At 54.4% G+C, this 18,120-nt stretch overlaps 1 protein-coding gene across 1 annotated transcript in view, besides 3 other annotated features; it reads left to right on the top strand.

The window, feature by feature from the left end:
• SHB (SH2 domain containing adaptor protein B) overlaps positions 1 to 18,120 on the top strand; it is a 153,330-nt gene that overhangs the window by 109,654 nt on the left and 25,556 nt on the right. The window contains exons 4-5 of the mRNA NM_003028.3: positions 3,520 to 3,691; positions 10,820 to 10,939. Coding sequence (NP_003019.2) covers positions 3,520 to 3,691; positions 10,820 to 10,939 — 292 coding nt within the window. The remainder of the gene's footprint in view (positions 1 to 3,519; positions 3,692 to 10,819; positions 10,940 to 18,120) is intronic.
• Positions 5,158 to 5,447: an enhancer, noted in NCBI's record as "active region_28407". NCBI's record gives its function as "activates an Ori minimal core promoter by ATAC-STARR-seq in GM12878 lymphoblastoid cells {active_cell/tissue: GM12878}" and the evidence as "EXISTENCE:reporter gene assay evidence [ECO:0000049][PMID:35858748]".
• Positions 5,658 to 5,787: an enhancer, noted in NCBI's record as "active region_28406". NCBI's record gives its function as "activates an Ori minimal core promoter by ATAC-STARR-seq in GM12878 lymphoblastoid cells {active_cell/tissue: GM12878}" and the evidence as "EXISTENCE:reporter gene assay evidence [ECO:0000049][PMID:35858748]".
• Positions 7,223 to 7,722: an enhancer, noted in NCBI's record as "H3K4me1 hESC enhancer chr9:37951849-37952348 (GRCh37/hg19 assembly coordinates)". NCBI's record gives its function as "activates a minimal SCP1, AML or CMV promoter by ChIP-STARR-seq in primed H9 embryonic stem cells {active_cell/tissue: H9 hESC(primed)}" and the evidence as "EXISTENCE:reporter gene assay evidence [ECO:0000049][PMID:30033119]".

Here is an 18,120-nt window from a genome sequence, read left to right as displayed (position 1 = left end):
CAGAAATCCCCCAATCCTGATTTTAGCCAGTGGAGCCCCAGGATGTCAGGAGTGAAAGTGACTTATAATTCATCTGGTCCCTCGGTCTCCTGAGCCTGTGGCAAAACTAAGCCTAGAACCTCACTTCCAGCTTAGTCCCCTTCCTATGCCAGGGCAAGCCGCAGCCCTTCAACGCTGGCAGCCCTATGGGCCAGGATGCCTGCTGAGTTGTATCCTCTCTATTCCTGACAACCAGAAAATTAGCAGCAGGGAGGCATCATGGAGAAGTGCAGGCTAGTCCCATGCTCCCTGACCACATCCCCTTCTGTGCCCATCCCAATGGGGGCATCACCCTCCCCCAAGCCAGAAATCTGGGCATCACACAGCAGTTATCCCGGACTCACTCCCACAAGTAGTCAAGCTTCTACATCCCTCCCGTCATTGAGGGGGTCAGCCTCCATCACCTTTCCCTGACTGGTCTTCCCGTCTTCAGGATTGACCCCAAACCCACCCTCCACCAGCACTCAGAGAGGTCTCTAAAGCCCATTCTCTGATTATCCCCATCTATAAGTTCAAGTCCAAGCTCTTTAGAAAGGGGCTCCAGGATGACATGGCCCCAATTTGTCTGTCTAGCCCCAGTGCTCTCCCCTGCCCAAGGTCACCCATGGAGGGCTCTGCAAAGTAGGGGCTCGGGTAAGAACCTGCTTCACCTCTTTCTCTCCTTCTCCCAACCCCCTGTCCAAGACCATATGTCCCATGATTGGTTGCCATCAGGGTGCCGTCATTCAGCCAGAACCCCACTGGGAGATCCAGGCTACTGGAAGGCCAGCGAGGGGTAGATGCTGGTGGTGATGTGTGTGCTAGGGCCCCAGCTCCAGGTTTTAGGCCACTATCACAAAAGCCCCCTTATTAGCTGATGGGAAAGGGCCTTCTCACTCTCCAGCCCCAGGACCTGTCCCCTGGGAAGGCCTTGAGGTCATTGCTGTCTGTGTGTAGTTGGACACAGGAAAGAACTGTGGCCAGAAGGAAGGGCAGGAACCCCCAGCGAGTCCTCACTCTGCCTCCTCTCCACACCACCAGCCCTGGCATCACGGAGCTGTGGGTGTCTCTAGGTTAAGGCATGGCCTCCATGCTGCTTTCTGGAAGCTTAATTAGGGCCTTTGGTGAGTCTTCCTCTCATAGGTAAGGCCAGCCCATCCTTCCAGCGCTTAGGTCAACAGCCTGTGGTCACCAGTAGTCGTCCTTCTCTGATGCTGCACTTCAGCCTGTGGTCACCCGTAGTCCTCCTCTCATGGTGCACTTTGCATGCACAGGCGAGTCCTGCCATCTCTGCCTGCAGAATGTGGCTGGATCTGACCACTGGCGGGCACTGCCTCGCTGCCCTCCTGTGTGCCCGTGTACACATGCTCTCTGTCCCTCTAATTAGCCAGCTATACTTTCTAGAGCAGTTTTAGGTTCACAGCAAAATCAGACAGAGTCCAGAGTGTTCCCATACACCCCTTGCCTCCATCTCTTTTCAGCACAGCAATCCTGTAAGGAAGCGCCCAGTCAGAACGGCTCTCCACGTCTCTCAGAACAAAGCCAGAGTCCTTCCCAAGACTAGGAAGCCCAGCTTCCTTCCCAACTCCCTTCCAGTCACTCTGGATCATTTTGTGTCTCACTCTAGGCACAGTCCCACCCCAGGGCCCTTGAACTTGTTCTTCCTTCTGCCTGGAGTGTCCTTCCTACAGATGTTCCTTCCTCCCTTCAGATATTTATTCAGATGTCACCTTTGGAGAGGGCTTTCCTGCCCTGCTGTATTTTTCTCAGTGGCACTTGTCCCCAGCCACTGATAGGCAGATTGATTTATTGCCTGTCTCTCCTCACGAGGACCCTGCGCTCCATAAGGCAGGTATCTCTGTCTGTTGTGCCCATCACTATTTTCCCAGCCTTGAAGTGTGCCTAGTACATGTGGATAAGTGGTTAGGAGTGTCATCGCGGGTGGACTACCTGTTGGTGTCACTGCTGGGTAGCAGGCTGGCCACACGCTCAGCACAGTCCAGAAAGTGGGTGGGTCCGGTGTCTCTGGAGCCTTCTGTTGGCAAGAGCCTCCCTTCCCACTGTTTTCCAAAGTGGTTGATGGAGAAAGAGTGTCTTAGAGGGACAGAAATGCCCCACAGTCCCTGATAGGGAAGATGGTTCAGTGGCTGAGATGTAGAACAGGTTCATCACGCTCCTCGGTTTCAGCAGACAGCACGTTACCCCGCCAGCGCTGAGGTTTCTCCAGGACCTTCTGTGAGCATGGGGGTTGATTTTCGTGTGTCTGGCCGGGCTTGGAGGATAGCTTGCCACAATCATGCTTGCTGGTTAGAGGAGAGGTTTATGCCTTTGTGTGGCACAGCCAGGGACATGTTTGTGAGCCTGCAGCTGGCCTCGGCTTCAGGAACCTTCCTCTGCAGGCTCTGGCCTCGTTTCTTAGGCACCCTCTGTGTGTCAGGCGCTGGAGTATCCTCTTATCTGACCTTCACAGCAGCCTGGGGACTCAAAGAGGTTCAATAGCGTAGCCAAGGCTCGCAGCTAATCATTGGCAGGCTTAGGAGAAGAACTCAGGTTGGTTCAGTTGCTTCTGTGAGGTGACTAGTACTGTGTGTGCATTGAGCAGACACAATAAGTGTGATTTATAATAACAGCACAGACTACCTTCCACAGGTACAGGCACAGTGCTAAGATTTCTAGGTGTGTCATCTGCTTTAATCCCCATGAGATGGGTGCTGTCATTATCCCTGTTTTTCAGAGAAGGAAACAGGCCCAGCTGGATAACTGGCAAGGTGGTCTCCAGGAACCCTCTGGCAACTCCAGTTTTAGCTCAGCGCTTTCTGCTCTTTGTGGTGTCTCCAGGGTCTCCCTCAAGGAGCATCCTCCCCCAGCCTGTGGGGGTGAACGATGCTCCCACAGGCCCAGGGCGGGGAGAAGAGCATGTGGAATGGCCCTTCCTGTGCTATGGGCACTGCTTTAGCCTCACCTGGGCGCTGGGTCCTGGGCCCATGCGGGGGATCTGAATACAGGGGATGTAGCATGACCCCTAAGTGGCACTCTATAGGAGTATCCCAGGGAAAGGGGCAGATGTGGCCAGTATGGCCTGAGGTGGGATGAGAGGAGGAGAGGAGCCACTTGGAGGCAGATTTTTGGCCCAATACAAGAAACAGCTTTTTCCCCTGAGAACTGTCCAGAGGACAGAGTTCCCCCAAGGCAGTGCCCCCCGAAGGCAGTGCCATGCCCCCCGCTAGAGGCCACAGGGAGGTTTCTGTGGGGGTAAGGCTGAGCCCAGTGGCCTCTGGAGGCTCAGCCAGCCCCTCACACGCACCATTGGGCTGTGATCACGTGGGTGTCCTGTCTTAGGAAGCCAAAATCTTTTGTGCCATGTTATGTCATTGCTTGAAACCCTTCCTCCTGCAAGCTGTAAATTGCCAACTAGACCAGCTGAACGTTACCCTTCTGTGCCTCACAGTAGCTCCCTGGGCTGAGCTCTGCTAACCCTGCACTTTCTCTCTCTCCCCACAGCACAGTTTAATGGCAACGAGAAGCGGCAGTCATCCCCCTCACCTTCGCGGGACCGGCGGCGCCAGCTTCGTGCCCCTGGAGGGGGCTTTAAGCCTATCAAACATGGGAGCCCTGAGTTCTGCGGGATCCTAGGAGAAAGGGTGGATCCTGCCGTCCCCCTGGAGAAGCAAATGTAAGTTCTTGGGAGCAAAGCCCAACCTCACCTCCCAGTTCACCTAGTTTTTGCCCTCTCTTTCATGTCATCTTCTTTTAAAAATCCACAGACTGGGCCGGGCGTGGTGGCTCACACCTGTAATCCCAGCACTTTGGGAGGCCGAGGTGGGTGGATCACTTGCCTAGGAGTTCAAGACCAGCCTGGACAACATAGTGAGAGCCTGTCTCTACAAAAAAAAGAAAAAAAAATACAAAAATTAACCAGGTATGATGGCATGCACCTGTAGTTCCAGCTACTTGGGAGACTGAGGCAGGAGACTGAATTGAGGCCAGGAGGTTGAGGCTGTGTTGAGCTGTGATCACACTACTGCAGTCGAGCCTGGGCAACAGAGCGAGACCCTGTCTCAAAAAAAAATAAATAAATACCCAGACTGAGGCATGCTAGAACTCCAGGGGCCTTCTAGCCTGCCCCTACCTCCCCCTCTGTGTATACATGGGCAGGTTAAGGCTCTTGGAAGGTTGAGGCTCCCACCCAGCCAGTGGTAGGCCCAGGATTAGAACACATACCTCCTAGCTTCTAGCCCTGAACTTTTTCTCTCCACACTGTGTTGCCACCCTTACCTTCAATGGCAGGAGGAACTGCAAAAGAGTCTACAGGGTGCACTCCTCCTTTTTACATCCTAGTTTCTCATTTCATCATGCAGCAAATAAGTCCTTGGAAAAACTAAATATAAACTAAATCCTTTCCCCTAAGTGTAAAACTATGTGTAAATTAGATTTATTTTCTAGCTACAGTCGTGTTCTTGCTCCATGTCTGCTTGATACTGTTAGAGTTGGGCGAGGCCTTTCCACTCTTGATGCGGGTTTTCCCAGCCCCTTTGCCCAGAGATTTCCCACCTCCAGTCAGTGGCCAAGTCCCATCCATGCTGCCCCCAAGGTCCCACATCCCTTTCCGTTCTTGCTGCCCCCCAGCACTGTGCAGGGCCGGGCCCTTTATTGCCCCTCCCCTTGGCCATGGTTATCATCTCCCTGCTCTGCCAAATCATCCCTGGGTGCAGGGTCCTGCTCTGCTCTGAAACCTTCAGTGGCTCCACATTACCTCCAGGATAAAGTCCCACCTCCCTAGCCTGCCATTCATTCTGTGAATTGTCTGCAAACTATGTTTTCAGTTTCTAACCGTGTCTCATAACTGGACTAGAATGAGCTTCTCCAGGAACTTGACAAAGCAGGTGCAGGACTTGTGCTGGTGTCCTCAGGTGTCTTGTCTGCTTAAACAAGCAAATGTGCAATAAAGGGTTGTCAGCCCATTGCCTAGATGAGAACATCAGGGCCCAGAGTGGTGCAGAGCCTTGGCAAGGACTCACGGCTCAGAGTGCCCCCAACCTCATGACCCAGACCCCACCCTCTCCCCTCCCCTCTCCTCCACTTACTCTTTGCTCATTCCCACCCTTTGCCTGGTATGGAGTAGGCACACATGAGGCCACAAGACTCACTGACAACCACACATGGTTCGTGAGCCTTCCCTGGTGTGTGTCACGTACTGTATTTGTCTTGGGGATTCTGGTCTTGGCATGGCCGGCAGGGCATACCCTCACAGGAAATTCTCACTCGGTGAGCAGGATGCAGGGTTTTCCGAATGACATCATATGCTGCCCTTTTAAGCAAGTGCTGTCACCTCTGGAGGCTTCTGCCACCTTTGTGAGTGCTCCCAGCCGGTGCTGTGAATCATTTCTCACAGCCATGCAGATCGTCTGACAGGTTTTGCTTATTTCTGATCAAACTGTGCACTTTTAATCAACAAACTGTGACTCACAGATGTTCGGCGTGCGTCCTGACCAGCAGTGGCCAGGTCTGCCTGGGTCAGTCTGGGCCCAGCCTGCCCACTCCCACCCCCAGACTCAGCCTTCATCTCAAGGTGGGAGGGTTGGGCTCTCTTTCCTTTCCCATTCCCACTTGATGGGGCCCCCAGCCAAGTCCAGAGGCATGACTGGCTTTTCCTCCCCCATCGTCTCATCTCCCCACGATTAACTCCCCAAGATGAGTCAGAAGTCCTGACTCATCACCCGAGGGGTTTGCTTAAGGTAAAATCCCATTTCGGTTAGAGCCTGATGACCCCAGTAAAGAGGATCACCTAGTCCCCCACCTGAACTGATGCTGTTCTAGAGTTCAGGAGGCGCCTTCCAGTCTGAACCTCTCCTCCACCCTAGCACAGAGGGAGGTAGGAGGGGAGACCGAGGCACTGGGGTGTGCCCCAGGTCACACGGGGTGGCCATGGATGGGCAGGCACACATCTGCCTAGGTGCTCCTACCACCTGCCTTCCCTCCTGGGACAGCAGAAAGGTGCTCCAGTGCTCAGGGTCTGTCCCCACTGCCTCCTGGAGGCAGCCCCACCTGCACCCCTCTTCCTTCCTCCATCATTACCATCAGTATATGAACGTGTCCCAGTAACAAACTTTGCCAACATAAGTAAAAAAAAAAAACCTTGACTCAACATTCCTCTCAACTGCCCCTGCTGAGAACAGAAACTCCATGAGGGCAGGAACTTGTCTAGGTCACCACTGCATCCCCTGTGCCTAGAACAGTGCCCAGCAGGTAACAGGTGCTGAATAAATAGCTGTTGCGTGAATGAACAGTCTCCAAAGAGCTGCCAGCACTTCTCCCCTCTCTGTCACCTCCCCTTCTCTCTCACCCACCACAGCCAGCCTCCTTTTTCTGCCCCGGTCCCCAGACGACCCCCTCTGTCCTCCGTGGCAGTCACCACAGTTGACCACTCTCCTTCTGGGCCTCTGGGCCTGGTGCTCCTCCTGCCTCCCTGGCCACTCTTCCATCTCCTCTGCTGGCTCCTTGCCTCTGCTTGACCTGAAGGTCTGACTTTCCAGGGCTCAGTCTCCAACTACGTGCTCTCCCTGGGTTGTCTCTCCCAGGATCCTAGTGGTGACTCACAGACATGTAGCATCAGCCCACACCTCTCCCAGAGCTCCTGACTCCTACGTCCAGTTGCTTCCTGGCATCTCCATTTGGCTGACAAGTGGGCATCTCAAACTTAATGTGTTCAAAACTGGGCTCCTGATCTTCTCCTCGAAACTTGCCCCTCCCCCAGCTTCCGCACCTCCATAAACGGTGTCACATCTAACTAGTTATGGTTCAAGCCACAAACCCGTCATCATCTTGATTCCTTTTTTTGCCGGACACCAGCATCTGTTGCTTTACCAAATTCTGCCAGTGCTCCCTCCTAAGTACCACCAGAATCCATTATTCCTCCATCTCTGCGGCCACCTGCCGTGTGAACTACTTCACTAGCATCCTGACTTGTCTCCTCTGGCCCCTCCTCACGCCAACCTGACTGACTGTCTGTAAGATTTCCCAGGGCAAGTAACATCTCTTAAAACTCTTATTGCTGTGGATGAAATCAAACTTCTCCTCCTGGGCACAAGAACTGGGCCTACCTCCTGCCCGCTGCTCACAGTGCCTGGGTCATTCTTGCCGCCTTTCTGCTCTGTGAGCACTGCAAGCGCATTCCTACCTCAGGACCTTTGCACTTGCTGCCTGTTTTGCAGAGATGTTTTCTTTGGCTCTTCACGATTGGCTCCTTCTCATGTTCTCAGGCCACATGTCATCTCCTCAGGGGCCTCCCCTGCCCATTCATTTCTAAGCGGGCATCTCATACAGCCCCAGTCACTGCCTTATCATAACCCCAGGATGCCTGCATAACCCTTGTCACTATCTGGAATTGTTTCCTGTATCTCTCTGTTGACTCTTCCTCTCCCTTCATCAGCCCCGTGAGATCAAGGATATAGTGAGTGGTGAGTAAATACTGGATGAGCTCATGGGTATTGGCTGGGGTGAAGGACGATAGTTGAGTCTCCCTAATCCCCCTGGTTCTGACCTGACTGGCCAACCCCACGAGGTCCAGCCCATCCCTGAGATGACCTCCTGCCTGGATTCTCTTTCCAGGTGAAGCAAGGCCTACGTGGGCCCAACAGTTGGCTGTAGCCCCCCACAGGACCGCCCAGCCCAGCCTGACTCCTAGTCTCCAGCCTCCTGCTGACAGGCTGGCCAGTGCCGGCCCGGCCCCCAGATCCAGCACCCTCTGCTCCTTCTCTCCTTTGTTCCTCAGCCCCTTGTCCCCTGCCCTTGACTCTGTGTGGAGCAGTTGGGGAAGGGACTGGTAGCTTATCCTGTTAACCACCTGGGATTCCCCTTAACAAGAATCCAGAGGCCATGCCCCCATCTCAGAGCAGAGCTTGCTCCTGAGCTCAGGGAGGGTGGATGGCAGGCAGCACTTCCCCAGAGACCACTTCTAGGCCTTTCCCTGAGGACGGCTCAGCTTCAAATGGCTGGGACTTGTTTTCCTAGTAAAATGTTTTTGTCAGCTCACTGAGGGTGTGTTACACAGTGAAATCTCCCAGAGGACAGCCTTCCCAAACCTGTTAACTCTTACTTCCGAAGTCAATGCTGTCTTTGTTTCTCCTGATTACAGCCATGTAGCCTTTCTAAAGCATAACATGGACCTTCATGTCTCAGGAAATGTTTTACTTGTGGTGTTTTAATTGTGGCAACCCATGCATACCCCAACTTCACATTCCTCTTTACATATTTCTCTGTACCTTTAGAAAGAAAGGGGTCTGTGGTCTGCATGCTCTTCCTGCCTTCTCCCCTGGAAAGTCTCCCCTCCGGATGTCCAGCTTGGTGGCCACTGCCTGGACTGTCCACCACTTGGCCACATTCCCACTGGACAAGGACACTCACATTTACTCTCCAGTCCTTGACTTTAAAGTTGATTTTTTTTCTTAGGGTTTTAATTTTGCTGTGGCCACTGCTACTAACTGTTGAGCTCTGCCTCATGAGTGGCAGGAATTGCATGGGGACGGGTGGTTTGGGTTTTTCTCTGAGGAGAATGTCAGTGCCGGAACTCTCAGAGGCACGGTTTGCAGGACACTCTGAGACAGGCACCAGGAGGCAGCATCCCCACTTGCACCTGGAAATGTAATGTAAAATGCAGCCTCTGGATGGGCAGCGGCCTGCAACCATTGTAGGTGGGGATGTCACCACACAGTCTGCGAGGGCAATCTCTTTCTGCTAACGCTGCAGCTGCCGTCGGTTAAGACTCGCCCCACATCAGGCTCTACATTGGCCCTTCCTGCGGGGCCACTTGTTACATTCCCACAACCCAAGAGAGGTTGGCATGATCCTCGCTTAATAGAAGCCGCCTGGTCAGTGGCTTGCCTGGCCAGCAGGCAGCAGAGCCACCATTCGGAGCAGCATCCATGTCTCTGTGGACAAAGCACACTCCAACCACAGTACCGCCCCGTGCCTCTGCCTCTCCTGGCTGAGTCTCACCCCCTCCACTACCGCGCAGAGACCATCATGTAAACAGGAATGTATTTTGAGTGTGTCCACTCATGGGCAGTGAGGATCTTTATTCTTTCCCTGCAGTTTTACCGTCAGCTCTTCCAGTCATGAAAATCAGTGAGCCAGACATGGCGGTGCGTGCCTATAGGCCCACTACTTGGGAGGCCGAGGCAGGAGGATCCCTTGAGCCCAGGAATTTAAGGCTGCAGTGAGCCGTGATCACACCACTACACTTCAGTCAGGGCAATAAAGTGAAAACCTGTCTCTAAAAACCAAAAAAAAAAAAGGAAACACACACACACAAGGAAAATCAGGCTGGATGCAATGGCTCACGCCTGTAATCCTGACACTTTGGGAGGTGGGGTGGGAGGATCACTTGAGCTCAGGAATTCGAGATTAGCCTGGGCAACATATTAAGACCCTGTCTCTAGAAAAGATTTTAAAATAGCCAGGTATGGTGGCACGCACCTGTAGTCCCAGCTACTCTGGAGGCTGGGGGTTGGGGGGATTGCTTGAGCCCTGGAGTTTGAGGCAGCAGTGAGCTATTATCGCGCCACGGCACTCCAGCCTGGGTGACGGGGTGAGACCCTGTCTCAAAAAAAAGAAAGAAAAGCATTGCTCCCATTTCCTCCTCTGATGGGAGATGAGGGATGAGTCGGGCCCTCTGCACGGCACTCCTCCCCTCAGATTCTGCCGCCTGCCCTCCTCTGGCATGCATGGCATCTGGGAGCAGTAATGCTGGGATTCCCACATGCCCAAGTGGTGCTAGAGCCGTCTGGCAGGAGCATGGACAGCTACCTCCCTGCCCACCATCCATGTCTGCACACATCCCTGAGTCAGAGCGTGGCCCTCCCATCAGCACCCTCTGATGGTTTCCATGTTGCTCAAACAGAGAAAAGCCCCTGCTGCAGCCCCATTTCGGGACGTCTTGCACACCCCTTCCCCTTGCTGCTTCTGTCCATGCTGGCCCCTAGCTGTTTCCAGAATACGCTAGGCAGCCTTCTGCCTTGGCCTTCGCTGCTGATTTGTCTACCAAGAAAGCTCCTCTCTGGCTTCCCTCCTTGCCTCCTGCAGGTCTGCACTGAAATGTCACTTTTTTTTTCTTTCTTCTTTTTTTTCCATTTTCTTTTTTCTTTTTCTTTTTTTTTTTTTTTTTTGAGATGGAGTCTTGCTGTGTCTTCCAGGCTGGAGTGCAGTGGCATGATCTTAACTCACTGCAACCTCCGCCTCCCAGGTTCAAGTGATTCTCCAGTCTCAGCCTCCTGAGTAGCTGGGATTACAGGCGCCCACCACCACGCCCGGCTAATTTTTGTATTTTTAGTAGAGATGGGGTTTCGCCATGTTGGCCAGGCTGGTTTTGAACTGACCTCAGGTGATCCAACTGCCTTGGCCTCCCAAAGCGCTGGGATTACAGGCGTGAGCCACCTCACCTTGAGAAGGCTTCCCTGGCCACCCTGCCTGAAATAGTCCCTCACCAGCCCCCAGCTCCATGAGCCTATGCCACTTCATCTCCATGATGCCTGTCCTCACACTGTGCTCTGTGATGACTTGAGTGTCTGTGGCCTGACTCCCTGCACCAGAGCATAAGCTTCCCGTGAAAAGAGACTGGGTTTTGTTCACTGTGCTCTCCCCAGGACCCGGCAGCAGCAGGCGGGCAGTGGGTACCCATGGAATGAACCAGTGCATGCCTGCTTGTACAGGGAGGCTCTCTGCGGGTGCTGAGTCTCCCAAGGCAGGTCAGGGCCATGGGAATCCCATCGCGCTGGGCTCTGACCACTCTCTGCCCTCTCCACAGATGGTATCACGGAGCCATCAGCAGAGGAGACGCCGAGAACCTGCTGCGACTCTGCAAGGAGTGTAGCTACCTTGTCCGGAACAGCCAGACCAGCAAGCATGACTACTCCCTCTCCCTGAGGTGAGTGCCGCCCCGAGCACCCCCAGCCCTCCTCGGCAGCCTCTGCGAGCGCAGCCGGCCACCGTGTCTGTGGCAGAAAAACCCGCCAGTGTCCCCTGGGAAACTTGCCAGCACACGTTATTTTAGGCCTGGGTTTTTCAATTTGATCCTATTCTCCTGGGATACAGAGGAGTTTTTATGTTCACTGTTGCTGCCCTTCCAGAAGATGAGGGGCCTTTTTCTAGGATTTTGTATTAACTATCCAAGAAAGCTTTCACATCTGCTGTGAGCCGGGGTGGTACGAAGTTCCTAGCATGCCTCATCCTGCTCTCAAAGCCCACGACGATGGTCCTTTGATTTTTTTGAGGAACATATCGTCGCCAATTTGCAGATGAGTAAACAGGTTCACGGAGGTGGGTGTGGCTGGCCCAAGTGGCTGGGCCAGGACTTGTGACCAGCCCATGACTCTCTGCCACTGTGAGCATGACCTAGCTCTGGCTTGCGGTTTGTGTGGGCCTGAGTTTGGGTGTTGCACAAAGTCTAGGAGGAGCACTGGGAAGAGGTGGTGTTACTGCCTATCGCAGCTTTGGAAACTTTCAGGTCTTTCTGACCTGTGAGGCATTTCTGTCAGGATGGGCAGGCCCAGAAATAAGAAAAGCATGTTTTAGTTGGGTGCTATTGCTGGACGGGACCCAAAAGAATGCCTAAACCCATTTTACAGAAAAACTGAGGTCCAGAAAAAGAAGGGATTTGCCAAGGACATATAGAGAGCTGGTGACATAACTGGGGTGTAAACCCAGGCTCTTCAGCCAGCACAGATCCCCCAGAAGCAGTGAATCCCTCTGCCTGGCATCCTCTCTGTCCCACTTACCGCTGTTAGAGGCCATGGGAGGGAGAGCCGGCCTGCAGGGACACGGTTGTCAGGAGAGCTCACACACATGCCGGCCCTGTAGACAGAGGCTTCAGTAAAACCAAGGAAGGTGAAACTGGCCTGTGTTCTCTGCTCACGACTGACCCCTCCCCCCACAACTTCTGGGCTTTGCCCTGAGAGAGACAGTGACAAACTGCAGAGTCAGGAGGGCGGCAGGCATGGGCAGAGGCAGGTAGGGCAAGGCACACAGGCTGTGGGAGTCCACCTAGAGAAGAGAGAGCATGTGGACACGGGGTGGGGACCATGCATCTCTCAAGGACTGTCAGGGCAGAGGGAGCTGATGTACAGACAGGGGACTTGTGGGCAGACAATGCATAGACAGATTCCAGCTCTGCAAGAGGAAAAGTTTCCTAATAGCCAGAGCAGATCAAGAATTAGAGCTACCCAAGCTGCCTCAAGGTAGTGAGCCTGTCATCACTAGGGGAATAAGACCAAAGGCTGGACCACTGCCTAAACCAGAGAGGATGCAGAGGGAACTTCTAGCCTAGCGGGTAGGGCACTCAAGACAAACAAGAAATAGGTACCTTGCTCTTCTCTAGGCTGCTGGTGCCTGCATAATTCGTTGTCTGCCATCAGACCTGATGGCTGAAAGAATCGGGTCAGTTATGGCAGCCGAGGAAAGTTCAATATGCTAAACTGCAACTGGGGCCGGGCAGAAGGTGGCCAAAGCCAGAGGAGCGGAATTGGACTGAGGAGAGGACAGCAGCAGGGGGGCGTGCACACCACCAGGCATGCTGATGGGGCCATCAAGGTGAATGGTGCTCTTCTGGGCTGTGAGAGGTAAAGGAAGCAGGTGGCATCAGCGACAGGACTCAAGTGTCACCAGCCTTCCCTGCATACTGGGCTTCCTCAGTGCTCCAGGGACCCTCTGGGGTGCTGGTCATTGGGGGTTATCACTCTGTCTCCCTCCCCATCTGTCTCTGAGTTCCTCAGTGAACCTCATTCCTCCTGGAATCCCCGTGGCTGGGGGCCTGGCCTGGAGGGGCCTCCACGAAAGGATCAGGGAGGACAGGACAGAGCACTCCATGCCAAACCGGGCCGTTCATCCTAGAGGACCAGAGCCCCATCAGCTGCTCCAGCTTCCTGTTCTTCTAGGCAGAGGTGGGGAAGTACTGAGCCCTTGAACTAAGGTCCTGCCGGGCTGGCACTGGGGCCCTGTGGTGACTCCAGTGCAGACCTGCCTTCGAGGGAACAGCAGCCTATTGAGTATCCAGGATGTGCCAGGGCTGAGGTCCCAACCAGGGAGCACACAAGGAACCTAGACCCAGTGGCAGAAGTAATAGTGCCAGCTGTCTCCTGCAGAATACATTTCTCAGTCCCCTGTGCATTGTACCCTCAGTTATAAAAGCAGGCCCAGATGTCAGCTCACAGTGGGGCTCAGAGGGCCAGAAGCGTCATTTCCCCTCCTCACTGGGGTGTGCCATTCCCTAGAGGGTAGGACCACCCTTGACGACACGTTGATTCTGCCCTCACAGCGTAGGCATGCAGTCCCAAGGGCCCAGCTGTGTTTGGTGGGGAAGGTAGAGGACGGGCCTCGTGCCTGGCCTCCTGCACTCACTGGCCTTGTGGCCTTGGCCAGTCACGCCATAGGGGCCTCAGTGTCCTCATCTGTGCACTGCGTATGGCAATGAGCTGCTGACAGACAGTGTTCCCAGCCCAGACAGTGCTGTGTCAGTGTTATCTAGTGTGATTCCCATAACCCTGCCCCTGTTTCCTGGGGTCAGCCCTGCAGTTTGATTGAAGTCCATTTTTAAGAGCCACAGGAAGGACCCATTGTCCAGAATTCTGGATAGGAGTCCTGTCCTGCCACTCGCTGCTCCCTGTGTGACCAAGTTTCTTCCCCTACATCTGTCCAGTGGGGAGTTGGGCTTTGATGGGCTCTAAGGCCACCTCCACCAATGACATCAGGGGTTCTCTAACTCTCCCCATGTCCCCATCTGTGGGCTGGACCACCTGCACCTCCCAGGTGAGGGGAGGACGTCGAGGGAGACTGGGAAGGCAGCCCAGCAGCCTCTACCATCAACTCTGTGTTTGCCTTCCCGCACCCATCCCATGGACCTCATTATCAGGAACTGTCATTTGGGTGACCCATCTGAGCCCAAAGGAGCTGGAGGTGAGGTCTAGTTTTGCATGCAGATCTAGAGGCATTAGATCACCACCTCCAAAGGCCGGGGTTGTTCTCACCTGCCCAGCTTTCCCCTGAAGAATGCCAGAATTGGGGAGGTGGGCTGGGCTGGGCATCCTATGGCTGAGCCAGGCAACCCACTCAGGGGAGATGAACTTGCTTCCCAGAGGAGCCCCAGCTCCCGATGGCCAGTCCAGCTGCTGGTTGGGGAGCAATGCCCTGGAATGAATCACCTCAACCGCAAGGGGAACCGTCCTGGTACTGCATATCCTGGCTGCCTGGAGCAAGCACCATCTTTGCCAGCCACCAAGTGAGGGGCCTGATCTCTCAAATACTCAAGGCTTGCCTGGCAGGGGTGGGTGGGGAATGGCATTCTTGACACTGTCAGGAGCTTGGTGCAAATTGACACTGGAATTCCAGCTATGCTGGTTATCCGCCTCTGGCCATTTTCATGTGAGTTTGTCCTGCCCTGAGGGTGTTCTAGGATGAAGAAAGGATCTGGGGGAGTTCAGCCTCAGAGGACACCCCGTGCACCCTTCCCTCAGCAGATATTTTTCAGAGCCCTCCGTACCAGCCACTGGGCTGGGCATCAGAGAGAGTCCAGAGGTGAGAACAGTCAGGCCCAGCCTCCAGGGGCTCAGCCTGGCCAGGCCAGCCTGTGTCTTGTTGTACACAGGTCTGCACAGGGGGGTCTTGGGAGCCCAGAGCTGGCATGTGGGTGGGCAGTCCCTGCCACAGAGAGTCAGGAGAAGCTGCAGGGAGAAGGCTGCACCTGAACCTTCAAGAGAAGGCAGGTGTTCCCCAGACAGGGACGGCTAGCAGGGCAGCTCAGGTAGAGGGGACAGCCCAGGCAGAGCCATGGAGGTGCAGGAGAGCCTTGGCGGGTCTCGGGGGCTCCCAGAAGAGTTGAGATGCAGTTCTCAGTGATGGGGCCACTGACGTGCAGGTTGCACTCACCAAGGTCCTGCGAGGCATTTTCTTCCTCATCTTAGGCTGGGGGAAGCCGAATGCCTGCCAGGGTCCACAGCAGAGCCAAGACTGGAGTGGAGGCCATGGGACTCCCAGCCATGTCCTCCCATCTCCTCCCCGGCATTCCTTACACTCAGTCGAAAGGTCTTCTGACGTCAGACCTAGAAGTGTTTGAGACCCATTTACTCTAGTCCCTTTGCCTCATGGGGGTGGGGAAACTGACACCCAGAAGGGATTTAGGGTTGGTGTAAGGCTGCCCGGCTGGCAGCTGACCACTGACCACAGAGATGGTGACAGCTTCCCACTGTGGTGACCAGACAGGTCCCTGGATCAGCCCAAGCTGCCACCTGTCGGCATCCCACCCCCCAACTTTCTGCACTTGCAGTGACCCACAGTGGCGCCTGCACACCTCATGACATCTCAGAGCCCCCTCCATGGCAGGGGCCCCTACCTGTGAATCGTCTTCGGCGATTCTGCCTGATTGCCCTTGAACACTTTCCTCATCCCCTCCTGCCTGCAGAACTCTCTCCCTTGGCTGCCCGCCAACTCATTGACCTGGCACCCACCACTGGCCCCTGGATACTCTCACTCCAGCCTCAGGGAGCAAAGGGTTGAGCTGAGAAATTGGCAAGAAAATGTCAAACTCTTAACACAGTTTCCTGTCTCTGGAAAGGCTGGCAGTGGAGGAAAGGGATGAAAAGCCTTGAAAAAAATCTCATTAAAAGGCTCTTCAGGCACTTTGGCCTGCGAATGAGTCTTGGCAAGTTCTGGTTTGGTGAGTTTTTGCAAAGGAATGTGGACAAGATGAGGGAAGGACTTCAAAGACTGGGGGACTTCTAGCTGGGGGCAGACAGCAGGGAGGCGGGGTGAGTGCTGTGGCCTCCAGTTCTGCTGGGCAGGCTCTGCCCTCATGGAGCAGGGATCCTGTGTGACCCATGGGAAGGGGCACCGAGTGGCACCTCTGAGGCCTCTGCAGTCAGCAGCTTTGACAAGGACCCAGCCCCTGCTTGGTTGAGGTGGTGAGAGTCCCAAAGCCAGTGGGGCTAATGGCTGCATACAGTCCTTACGGAGGGACCTTTGGCTTTCTAATCCCCGAAGGCAAATTGCCTGGCATCTTGCAAACGTGACCTAAGGAGACACCTCTGGGGTCTGGCCTGTTTCCATCATGCTGTGGCACTTGGTTGTTCACAGCCTCTCCAGCCCAGCCAATGAGCTCTGCCCCGTCCAGTGTCAGTTACTGAATGAGCTGTAGCCCTGCAGGAGCTCACAGCCTCACAAGGAAAGGAAGACACTTACACCTATAACTCACGGAGAATGTGTTCAGGGCTGCCCGAAGTAGAAAGTACTCTTTCTATGAAAGTTTCCAGGCTATGAAAGAGGGAAGGAATCAGGAAGGGGAATGTGAAGGATGAGCAGGTCTTAAACCCATGCACAGGGGAGAAAAGGCAGGCTGCAGAGAGAATGGGCCCAGAGACAGGGCAGGGCGGAGCTTGCCTAAGAACAACAAATGACACATTCATCTGAGCCCAAGAGAGATGTAGCCCTGATCACCAGGTGGAGGGGTCGGGGCTTTACCTGTGAGGCAGCAGGGAGTTCTCAAGGTTTGAAACAGGATGCAGTGCTATTGTCAGGGCTGTATTCTAGAACCATGAGTGAACTAGGGGGCCCATGAGTACTGGCGAGGAGGGATGCCAGCTTCTGCCTCCCTGTCCCCCCAGTGATCCCCCCCTTCCCCTCCATGTCCCTACACATGCCACGTGAACTGGCACAGACCGAGAGCTGGGGAGGGGCCTGATGTAGGAGTCCAGAAGGCGAACAGCACGTGGGCAGGCATCCCAGGAGACCGAGGCAGCCCTTTTCAAGATGGAGAGGGACAACACAGGCTCTGCAGTCAGATATCTGAATCCAAGTCCTGCTTCCATCTCTTTCCCCGCACCTGATGCTGGGCAAGGTACTGCACCTTCCTGAGCATCACGGGATGCTTGCCTCAGCAAGAAGTAAGGCTTGGCAGATAAGCCCTACACATAGATGGTGCTCAGTATATACCAGTCTCTGCTTCTCCCAGCTTTTCCAGAGCCTTCAGAAATCACCACGGAAGCAGCAGAGTAGACAGAGCCCTGGGTGAGTCCAGGCTGTCCCTGCTGCACTAGGTGACTTGGGCAGGTATCTGGCAGGTATCTTCTCCACTTGCATCGATAAAATGAGGGTCTGGGGTCTGATTAGTAAACTTGCTTCCAGTTTAAGGGTTCTATGACTAGACCACTTTCCTCTCAGTCCAAGGATGGCAGGAAGGTCCCATCTCCTCCAAGGAGGGAAGGAGGAGCACGACATTATCAAGAACTTGCCTCCTGTCCTTCAGATTGCTTGATGACGTCTATTTGTATCCGGCTTAGAGCAGCCGGGTTTGTGTTGACTGCTGGGTACTCAGTCTTTAGCCGGCAAATACCTCCTGTAGCTCCGAAGGAGGTTGGGTGGGTGTAACAGGGCCAAGAAGAGCTGAGGGGCACTGGGGGTGCGTGGCAGTTAGGGTTGTTTTTCTTTTGTCTGTCCCTTCATTGATTAATATAGCAAAGGAGAGAGTTTTCAAACAGTAGGCATGTCTGGGTCCAGGCAGGCAAGTGATTAATCTTAGTTTGTTGCTGCTGACAGCTAGGAGAAAGAAATAATAAAGGTTTAGGGGCCAGTGGGAGTGGGGATATGAGGAAAGGCTGCTCTCCCCTCATCTATCAGCAGGGAGCAAGTCTCCACTTCCTTCTGCCGTCCAAGCATCCCCTTGTTGGGTTAACATCTGAGACTCCAGACACCTAGCTCCGTGGTGGTTGCTTGCTCCCATGTGTGAGCCACCAGGGTGGTCCCTGCAAGGCCACAGTGGGACCTCCCTGGCCATTGTTGAGTTCCCCACACAGCCCCAGCATACCTGAATACCTGACAGTGGACTTAGTAGGTCACTGTATTCCCCAGCCAGGCCCCTGCAGGGATGATGAAGCCTTTTAAGAGCAAACTTCAGGGAAGGCAGGTGTGTGCAGCTCAGGTACAGTACTGCTTGCCTCAGGACCCCCACACTGCTCAGCAGTGGTTGCAGGGGCCCTGAGCTCCTGGCCATGTGCCCCATGACTCCCCCAACAGAGGGAGCTCTGCACAGCGGTGAAGACAATGGCTCTGGGTCTTGGCTTAGGC

This window comes from Homo sapiens, chromosome 9 (assembly GCF_000001405.40).
Source record: "Homo sapiens chromosome 9, GRCh38.p14 Primary Assembly".
Classification (NCBI taxonomy): Eukaryota; Metazoa; Chordata; class Mammalia; order Primates; family Hominidae; genus Homo; species Homo sapiens.
Note: the sequence above shows the minus strand (reverse complement) of the source record. Positions and strands in the feature narration are given on the sequence as shown.